Here is an 11,206-nt window from a genome sequence, read left to right on the forward strand (position 1 = left end):
TGGCGTTTGTCTTGCCCACAACTTCCCTGCTCAGTGCTACTGAGCAGTGACTGGATCCCCTCAAGAGCACAGCCCTGCTGGCTGGCCCCTCCTCCAGGGTTCTGCCCCTTCCTTCCCCAGATCTAGGGGTGAGGGGCTGCTCCCTATTGACACTGTCCCGATGCCTTATTATCTCTTGAGTCCCTTAATGCTGACCACAACCTCTGAATCACCAGTCTCTTGACCTGACTTTTCCTTCTAGAACAAAATGAGGATAAATGCCCCCAGGTAAATGAACCCAATCCACTTCTCCATTCTGCTCTCTGATCTTCCTAACTCGTAGCCTGAACCTCAGTTACACTTTTCTACCCGCTGTACCAAAAGTCATAAGTCTTTCAACTCTGACTGCAGAATAGAATAACTTGAAAAAAAATTAAATATCACTGTCTCAACCCCAGCCTCTGAGATTCTGACTCAGTGGACCTGGAGTGGGGAAGAACTGCATGACTGTGCACCAGCAGAGCCCGTGCCAATGGCAAGGATCTGGCTGGGCAGGGGAAGCCCCCAGCACAGGCATGGCTTGTTTAAAGCACTCCAGGTGATTCCCATATACAGCCACGACTGAGGGCCACTGTCCTATAGATCAGGTTCCCTGCCACTTTGCATTAGCACATGATTTGCCTCCTCTGTGGAATACATCCATCTGTCCTGCCCATCAGCATGTCATGCAGTCCCACCTTCAAAGCCCATCTCAGATGAGCCTTTGCATGAAGCTTTTTAAGTCTGCCCTCAACCCCATCCCAACCAGGTCCACATGTCTGTCCTTTGAAGACCAGTGGCTGTGGGATTTTTTTTCCTCTTTACTTTATATGAGAGTTGGTGACCCAGGCAGCTTTTTCACACAACGGTCTCCAATGATGCTATAGGCATGTACAAGTGAAAGACCTGAGTCCTCTCATCCAACTTCCCACTCAGTGCAGGAAGCGCAGGCTAGGGCGATACTAGGTCAAGTGTCTCTGGTGCCACAGACTTGCATCCTGCCACCACTTTTCCAAATTAAAAAGGCTGGAATTGATTCCAGTTCAAATTCTAAACCCAGCCTCCTTACATCTTCCTAGCTATTTAACTTCACATTCCTTTAAAATGTTTTGTAGAAAATCAATTCTATAATCATGTTGTAGAAGAGCAGTGTTTTGTTTAGCTGTTACATCTGAGTATTAATTAATTGTTACAAATCACAATCAATAAGTACAAATGCTGTGTTCAAAACAATTCAACATTTTCTGTGAAAACCTTGATTTACTTAGTTTTCAGGCCGTACTGCAAATACAAAGAATGTGCTTATTATTTTTTAAAAACAGCTTCTTTGGTTCTGGGAGATGAAGCAATATGACAATTTTTCATGCCAGTCCAGGGCTAGATCCTTCCTCAGTTTAATGGTAAATGAGGCAGCCTCATCATCTTTTTTTTTTACCTTCCTTCTCCTCCTCAAACACTTTATATCCGTCTCACCTTGCACTGAAGCCTGTGTGCTAGGCTCTCATGCCATAATCACAATTAACTGTTAACAGTGAGTGTGAACAGTGGCCACCTGCCCCTCATTAAGGTCCTCCATGCTTTTCTCACTGGTAATAAGTATTCATTCTTCATCACATTGAGGACACCAGCAGTTGTAAGATGCACCATTATTTTCTGTGCCACTAAGGAAGAAAAAAAATCGCTGATAAATAAACTGTGGCAAGCTGTCAACTGGAAGGTGTTGTTGATTGCAGTACACATCACAACGTCAGAGATGTTACTATAGGAAAATATGCATGTGTTGGAATCTATGAAATACAGCATTCCACACCGCTATTGCCTCCTTCCTGTGAGCTCCACAGTGATCCTATTTCTGCCTCCAATTATTGTCTAAAGTGGATTCTGGACACCACAATCCTTAACTGTAGCTGCATCACCATCTTCCTCCTCTTATATCTGTAATATCTCATTAGGTTACCTTGCATCCAAAGAGAGATCTCTATTTGGATCTCTCCAAGGGGTAAATTTTCATTGACATGAGAAGCTTATCTTGTATGGTTACAGCATAGTCAAGGGACTAGAAGACATTGTCTTTGAAATAGTCAAGTTCATTGGCAACATGTTTCAGTCCTGGGGGAGTTCTGAAATACTCAATGACTTTTGGGAGAGTAGCTAAAGTTATTTACTATGACAGAAATGTTCATTACATTATTACTATTTTGAAATGTCACAAATTATTTTTTAGTTGAAAAAAGAGTAACATATAAAAGTGCATATTTATTTTCATGTTACCCACAAAGCTGAAATGATTTTTTAATGTTTTTATCTAAACTTTTTTTTTTTTTTGAGACAGAGTTTTGCTCTGTCACCCAGGCTGGAGTGCAGTGGCCCAATCTCAGCTCACTGCAGCCTCTACCTCCCAGGTTCAAGCAATTCTCATACCTCAGCCTCCCGAGTAGCTGGGATTACAGGCATGAACCACCATGCCCGGCTTGTATTTTTGGTAGAGACGGGGTTTTGCCATGTTGGTCAGCCTGTTCTCGAACTCAGCCTCCCAAAGTGCTGGGATTACAGATGTGAGCCACCTATGCAGAATATAATCGAAAATCTATTTTTTCAATGCCTGCAATTTTTTTTCTTATAAGACTTCCCACAGGTGCTAAAATAGTCAGAGACATTTAAAAAATACTGAGGACACAGGAATGTGTTTTACGTGATTTGACATGGAGGGGCGATTCCTAAAAATAGAACTAGATGCCTATTCTAAGCAGCATGCTGCATCAGATGCTGCAAGCAGGCTTCAGTGCTGAGGCCATCACTTGGCAGCAAATTTAGATTTCTCTTTCCAAACTTAGGTCATGTTCTCTTTTGATGTTTATTATTTTTAAACTGTTTAATTTGCCCTCTACAGTGCTAATTTCTGGTAGAAGAAAAGTTTGAGAACTTGCAAATTAAGTACTTTTTTTTCTTGCAGAAGATACCAGTGAGATAGTCTACATTGTGGCTAGGAGTTGGAGACCTGGATTCCGTTCTAAACTCTTCCGATTACAAGCTGTGTACCACTGAGAAAGTTGCTATGAGAACCTCAGTTTCCTCATCTATGTAATGGTGAAAATAATAACTATTTCATTTGGTTGTGGTGGTCATAAAATGGGTTATATAATCAGTAACATCTGTCAACATCTTAAATGCACCTTATCTTTGGTTCAGTAATTCCAAATGTAGGAATTTGTATTACAGATATATTGGCACAATTGCACAAATGTTATTTATGGAAAGATTTGATATGCTTCTGAATGTGAAAAAAAAACAGAAAGAGATTAAAAGGCCACCTATAATGTGGGGAAAATCTGGAAAAATGATATTTAATACATGAAAGCTCTTAAAATTAATTCAAGAAAAAATATCATATTAGAAAAATGGGCAAAGAATATAAGTATTTAGATAATTAAAGAAGAAATTTAGTTGATTGCTGTGTTAATATTTACCAGGAATAAACAAACACGCACAAAAAATATAAAATAACTATATACCATTTGTTCATTATAAAATGAGCAAGATTTATAGAGATAATAATAGTCAGCATTTGCATGTGGAACTAGATTTCTCATGCTCTGTTGATGGGGCTATAACCTGCATAAGCATTCTGTATCATATTTTAACAATATGTAAACATCTTAACTTTGTTTTCCCCCTGGTAAAATAGTTCCTCTTCTAGGAATTTGTCTGAGGAAATAAATACATATGTACTCAGAGAAGCACGTACTTCAAAACAGCATTGACAATAGAAGATAAAAAGAAACAAGTGAAATGTGTAATAAGAAATTGGTTCAGAAAGGATTATGTCAATCATGAAAATACACAAAAGTACAAAACTCACTGTTAGAGCAGATACAGAAATGAGAAAGAGAAAGGAGTCAAATGTTATCACTATAAAAAAACTAACAATTGTAAGGTAGGTAATAAAAGAGAAAGAAACAAAGGATAAACAAAATAATCAGAAAAACAATTAACAAAATGACAGGAGTAAGTCCTCACTTGTCTATATGTAAACGGTTTAAATTCCCAAATTAAAAGATGTTAGACTACTGAATGGATTAAGAAAAAAAAGACCCAACTATATGCTGACCAGAAGAAACTCACTTCACCTATAAAGACACACAGAGACTGATAGTGAAGTGATGGAAAAAAATATTCCATGCAAATGGAAACCAAAGCATGCAGGAGAAGCTATATTTATATCAGACAAAATAGACTAAGTAAAACAACAACAACATAAAAAGAGACAACAAAGGTTATTATATAATGATAAAAAAATAAATTCAGCAAGAGGATATGACAATTGTAAATATATATGCACCCAACGCCAGAGCACCCAGATATATAAAACAAATATTATTAGAGCTAGAGAGAGAGAGAGAGAGAGAGAGAAAGATCCCAATACAATAATCGCTGGGGACTTCAACATCCCACTTTCAGCATTGGACAGGTCATCTGGACAGAAAACCAACACAGAATTATCAGATTTAATCTGTCCTATAGGCCAAATGGACCTAACAGACAATTACAGAATAGTTCATTTGGCAGCTGCAGAATACATTTTCTCAAAAGCACATGGAACACTCTCCATGTTAGACCACATGTTGTCCACAAATCAAGTATCAACAAATTTTAACATATTGAAATCATATCAAGTATCTTTACAGATCACAACAGATGAAACTAGAAATCAATAAGAAAATGAACTTAGGAAACTGTCTAAAAATATGGAAATTAAACAACATAATCCTGAACAACCAATGGATCAGTGAAGAAATTAAGAAGGAAATAAAAAATTTATTGAAACAAATGAAAATATGAACACAACATATCAAAACCAATAGGATATAGCACAATCAGTTCTAAAAGGAAAGCTTATAGCAATAAACACATCAAAAAAATAGAAACATTTCAAATAAACAGCCTAATGTGGTACCTCAGGGAAATAGGAAAGAAAGAACAAACCAAAGTGAAAATTAGTAGAAGGAAAGAAAGGAACAGGGCAAAACTAAATGAAATAGAGACCCCAAAATAACTACAAAAGATCAATGAAATAAAAAGTCTGGTTTTTAAAAAGAAAAACAAAATTTTAAAAATCATTAGATAGACTAAGAAAAGGAGACCGAAGATACAAATAAATAAAATCAGAACTGAAAAATGAAACATTACAACAGATACTGCAAAAATGCAAAGTATCATTAGAAGCAATTATGAACAACTATATATACCAACAAATTCCAAAACCTAGAGGAAATGGACAAAATCCTGGACACCTGTAACCTACCAAGATTGAACCAAGAAGAAATAAAAAACCTGAAGAGACCAGTAATTAGTTACAAGATTGAATCAGTAATAAAAAGTCCTCCCAACAAAGAAAAGCCCAGGACCAGATGGCTTCACTGATGAATTCTACCAAACTTTGAAAGAAAAACGAACACTTCTCAGGTGTTAAAGAAGAAACAATTCTTCTTCAACTATTCCAAAAAATGGAAGATGAAGGAATTCTTTCAAACTCATTCTATGAGTCCAACAATACCCTGATACCAAAACCAGAGAAGGACACAACAAAAAAAAGGAAATACAGGCCAATATCCCTGATGAGCATAGATGCAGAAATTCTCAACAAAACACCAGCAAACCAAATGCAATAACACTTTAAAAAGATAATACATCATGATCAAGTGAGATTTATCCTAGGGATGCAAAGATGGTTCAATACAAGCAAATTAATACATATATTACATTAAAATAACAGAATGAAGAAGAAAACATAAAATTATGAAAACATAAAATTATCTCAGTAGATGCAGAAGAAAATTGATAACATTCAACATCCCTTCATGGTAAAAACTCTCAACAAATTATTCTTTTAGGGAGCATACCTCAACATGATAAAGGCCATATATGACAAAGCCTTTCCTCTAAGCACTAAACAAGGATGTCCACTTTCACCATTCTCATTCAACATAGTACTGCTAGTCCTAACTAGAGCAACCAGATAACAGAAAGACATAAAAAGCCTCCAAATTGGAAAAGAGAAAGTCAAATTGTCCCTGTTTGCAGATGGCATGATCTTATATATACAAAAACCTAAAGACTCCACCAAAAAAGAAAAAAACCTCATAAGAACTGATAAATGAATTCAGTAAGGTTGCAGGACATGACATCAACACGCAAAAGTCAGTAGTATCTCTATATGCTAACTGAACTATCTGAAAAAAATATCAAGAAAACAATCCCATTTACAATAGCTACAAAACATAAGACACCTAGGAATAAATTTAACCAAAGTGATGAAAGACCTCTATACTGAAAACTATAAAACACTGATGAAATGAATTGAAGAGGATAAAAAGAAATGAAAAGGTATTCCATGCTCATGGATTGGAAGAATTAATATCAATAAAATGACCATACTACCCAAAGCAATGTACAGATTTAATATGATCTCTATTAAAATATCAATTATATTCCTCACAGAAATAGAAAAAACAATCCTAAAATTTGTGTGGAACCTCAAAAGACCTTGAATAGCCAAAGCAATCCTGAGCCAAAAACAAAACAAAGCAAAAAAACAAATAACAAAGCTGAAGGCATCACACTACCTGACTTCAAAATGTACCACAAAGTTATAGTAACCAAAACAGCATGGTATTGATATAAAATCAGACACATAGACTAATGGAAAAGAATAGAGAACCCAGAAAAGAGCCACATATTTACAGCCAACTTATTTTTGACAAAAGTGCCATGAACATTGGGAAAAGGACAGCCTCTTCAATAAATGGAGTAGGGAAACCTGATATTCATGGAGAAACCTGATATTCATTCCTATTTCTCACCATATTAAAAAAATCAACTCAAAATACATTAAAGACATAAACATAAGACCTCAAACTATAAAACTACTAGAAAAAAATATGGGAAATGCTTCAGGACTTGGTCTAGGCAAAGATTTCATAGCTAGGACCTCAAAAGCACAGGCAACAAAAACAAAAGTAAATAAATGAGACTGTATAAACTAAGCCACTTCTGCATAGCAAAGGAAACACTCAGCAGTGAGAAGACAGCCCGTAATATAGGAGAAAATAATTACAAACTATTCATCTGACAAGAAATGAATATCTAGAATATTCAAGGAACTCAATTCAGCACCAGAAAAGAAAAATCCCATTAAAAAGTAGGCAAAAGTTTTGAATAGAAATTTCTCACAAGAAGACTACAATTGACCAACAGGCATATAAAAAATATTCCACATCACTGATCATCAGGGAAATGCAAATCAAAACCACAATGAGATATCATCTCACTCCAGTTAAAATGGCTACTATCAAAAAGATAAAAAAATAAGGCCGGGCATGGTGGCTCATGCCTGTAATCCCAGCACTTTGGGAGGATGAGGCGGCTGGATCACCTGAGGTTCGGGAGCTTGAGACCAGCATGACCAACATGAATAAACCCCATCTCTACTAAAAATACAAAATCAGCTGGGCATGGTGGTGCATGCCTGTAATCCCAGCTACTTGGGAGGCTGAGGCAGGAGAATCGCTTGAACCCGGGAGGCGGAGGTTGTGGTGAGCCAAGATCGCACCATTGCACTCCAGCTTGGGCAACAAGAGTGAAACTCCATCTAAAAAAATAAATAAATAATAAAAATAAAAAAGATAAAAAATAACAAATGCTGGTGAGAATGCACAAAAAACTCATCAACAGATGAATAAAGAAAATGTGGTCCATGTACACAGAGCAATACTATTCAGCTACAACAATGAATGAAATCCTGTCATTTGCAGCAATGTGGATGGAACTGAATGTTAAGTGAAATAAGCCAGACACGGAAAGACAAATATCACATGTTCTGACTCATATATGGGAGTTTAAAAAGTTAATCTCATAGAGGTGGAGAGTAGAATGATAGTTTTCAGGGACTAGGGAAAGGTGGGGGAGGATGAAGAGAGGTTGGCAAATGGGTACAAACATATGGTTAGATAGAAGGAATGAGTTTTAATGTTCAATAGCAGAGTAGGGTGACTATGGTTAACAACAGCGTATTGTATATTTCAAAATAGGAGAGAATGTTTAAAATGTTATCAACACAAAGAAATGATAAATGGTTGAGGCTATTGATATCCTACTCTGATCACTACACATCATATGCATATATTAAACTGTCAGATGTACCCCATAAGTATGTGCAATTAGTATGTATCAATAAAAAATTACAATAATTCCAATTTTTAAAAAAGCAATTAGTTCAATAGATTATATTGAAACACTATTCAGCCACTTAAAATGATGCCACAGAAAGTACTTGTTGATGAGAAAATATGTCATAATTTATTCATGAAAAAAAGAGGAGGAGTTTCCAAATCTGTGCATGGGCATAGCCCTCCCTGCCCCAGTGCCTTTGCCCAGGCTGTTTGCTTCAACTGGGAGTAGTCTTTCCCCTCATCTCTCATCGTTACTGTGACTCTTTGAGATCTGAGCTCGCTCCCTGAAATCCAGGCTACGAAAGCTTCCTATTTCACATGCTTGCTGCATTCTGTATGTCTTCTTGGAGGCATGTTACATAATAGTTATTCAATAATCATTTCATCAATTGGTTTTGATGAGTGACTCCTTCCGGAGCACAAGCTCTAGCAGGGAAGACAGAAGCTGGCTCCGTTTCTCTCTGGAGTAGCCCAGTGTCCACAGTTTAGCAGGCATGGAGGAGATGAACATTAACATGATTCATTCCAGGGAGGAAAAATCTACGTGTGTAACAAGAAAATACTTGGAAATATCACTCTGTGTTTTCTCTCACAAAGTTTTCATTTTTTTTCTGTGCTATTCTTGCACATCTTTTGTTTAATTCATTAGTGGGTATGTTCTTTTTTTTACTATTTTAGGTAATATCTTCTTTCTTAAATTATATTTTCTGTTTGTTGTTATTGTTATATAGCACTGAAATCTTTTAAAATATAGAACTTTTATTTGGCAACTTGATGAACACTCTTTATTATGTAGACTTCGATATTATATGTCAAGAATGACATTTTTTTCTTTCAAATCCTTATACTTGGTATTTGTTTTTCTTGTTGCGTTGGCTAGGACTTCTAGTACAATGTGGATTACAAAAAGTGAGAGTGAACATTCTTGCTTCTTCCTGATTTTGAAGGAATATTTATATTATTTCATCACTAAGTATAATTTTTGCTATAGGTTTTTGATACCTATACTTTATCACTTATGCTAAGAGTTTATATAATAATTAGGTGTTGAGTTATAATATATGCTTTTGCAGTCACATATTAAAATGATCTCTGGTTTTTTCTTAATCTGTTAATATAGTAAAATAATAGAATCTACGTTTATGAGTTTGGCCTATATTTCTTCATTCTTGTACTTTTCCTGTCAAATTTTAGGGTCAATGTTATGCTCACCTCAAATATGAGCTGGGAGTGATCCTTTATCTTCAGTTTTCAGAAAAAGTTTGCATAAGATTAGGATTCCTTGAATACATGGTGGAACCTACATGTAAAACCATATGGGATTGGTGTTCATTTTGTGGGGGGATTTTAAACTACTGATTCAATTTCCTTAACAAGACATTCCAGTTTTCTATTTCTTTTTTGTCAGTTTTTGTGATTTTATGTTTTATTGCTTTTCTTTTTTCTTTATTATATTTTATGAGTTCTTTTCAGAATATTCATGTGGGAAAGGAAGAGTGGTGTGAACTAGCAAAATTTGTATCTTAATCAAAATGAAGGTCTTTATAATGCACAATTGATTGTGTGTGTGAGAGAGAGAGAGAACAGAGAGAGAAAGAGAGACACACGTGGTGGGGGAAAGCAGGTGTTATTGTAATCTTTACTTTTTCAGCCCACGGAAATCAGCAACTCTAGAGCTAGTCACAATTCAGACTCTGTGTCCTTTATCCAGCCTTACTAACAGCCTGCTTCCTACAAGGATGGCATGTTCATATGCTCTCTCCATCACTGTCTTCATCTGGGACACAGGCAGGCCCTGTGAGGAGCTGTCAGTTTCCCTCCCGCACTTACACACTGTGGAGACTCACGCTCTGCTAACCTTGCCTGAGGCATCGTGTCTCTGTGTCTTCTCCCACTCCTGATTCATCTTCAATGCACTTTTTAGGTCTTGATTATAAATTTTAAGTGGGATTTACTGATGTTGTCTACTTTCTTTTAAAAAGTGTCTTATATCAGTTCTCCTATTGTTTGGGAGATTTGCAAGGGGAGAATGGAGTACAAGGGGAGAATGGAGTACAAATTCAGAACATCACCTTAAAACTGTATGTCACAGTCTGTGTTCTTAAAAAAAAAATCTTGCATCCAAATAGTATGCCTTGGTCTTGGCACTCCTTTCATACACTATTTGCCCCAATATTTGTGACCAGTTCTCCTTTTGCACTACTCTGTCATTACAAGTACTGTGATGAGGTTTCTATTTGCCTTCTCACATTGCCTGTCCCTCTGAGAAGTACTAAATCACATAATAAATTCCTTCAACCTTTCCTACTTGCCTTCTTTATTTACAAACAAACATTGAAGCATCTGCTGTGCTGATGAATCCTTCCTTTTCAACAGTTCAGATGCTAAAATTTGACCAAAGATGACAAGGGGAAATCACACCAGTGTTTTTCCCCATGAAGAGTACTAAGAAATGCAAAAGGCTTGAATCCTAACCATCTGGTTTCAAATTCTATTTCCTCCACTTACAGCCGTGGGATCTCCTTTAGGTCCTTTATAAAAAGTTTTCTGAGCCTGAATTTACACAGTTGTAATGTAAGGGTAGCAATGATGCAGATTTTTTTTTTTTTTTTGAGAGTCTTGCTCTGTTGACCAGGCTGCAGTGCAGTGGCACAATTTCGGCTCACTGCAACCTCCACCTCCTGGGTTCAAGCGATTCTCCTGTCTCAGCCTCCCGTGTAGCTGGGATTACAGGCGAGTGCCACCATGCCCGACTAATTTTTGTATTTTTAGTAGAAACAGGGTTTCGCCATGTTGGCCAGGCTGGTCTCGGACTTCTGACCTCAGATGATCCGCCTGCGTTGGCCTCCAAAAGTGCTGGAATTACAGGCGTGAGCCACCGCGCCCTGCCAGAAATGTGATGAGGATTAAGTGAGGAAAGTCTGTACAGCGTCTAGCACGTAGGTGCTCAGAAACGTTCC

General features: G+C 36.8%; 1 annotated feature.

Annotated features, from left to right (window-relative positions):
• Positions 368 to 547: a silencer, noted in NCBI's record as "fragment chr2:106315285-106315464 (GRCh37/hg19 assembly coordinates)". NCBI's record gives its function as "represses an EF-1alpha promoter that drives an FKBP-Casp9 reporter gene in an ReSE screen in K562 erythroleukemia cells {active_cell/tissue: K562}" and the evidence as "EXISTENCE:reporter gene assay evidence [ECO:0000049][PMID:32094911]".

The sequence above is a fragment of the Homo sapiens genome, chromosome 2, assembly GCF_000001405.40.
Source record: "Homo sapiens chromosome 2, GRCh38.p14 Primary Assembly".
Lineage (NCBI taxonomy): Eukaryota > Metazoa > Chordata > Mammalia > Primates > Hominidae > Homo > Homo sapiens.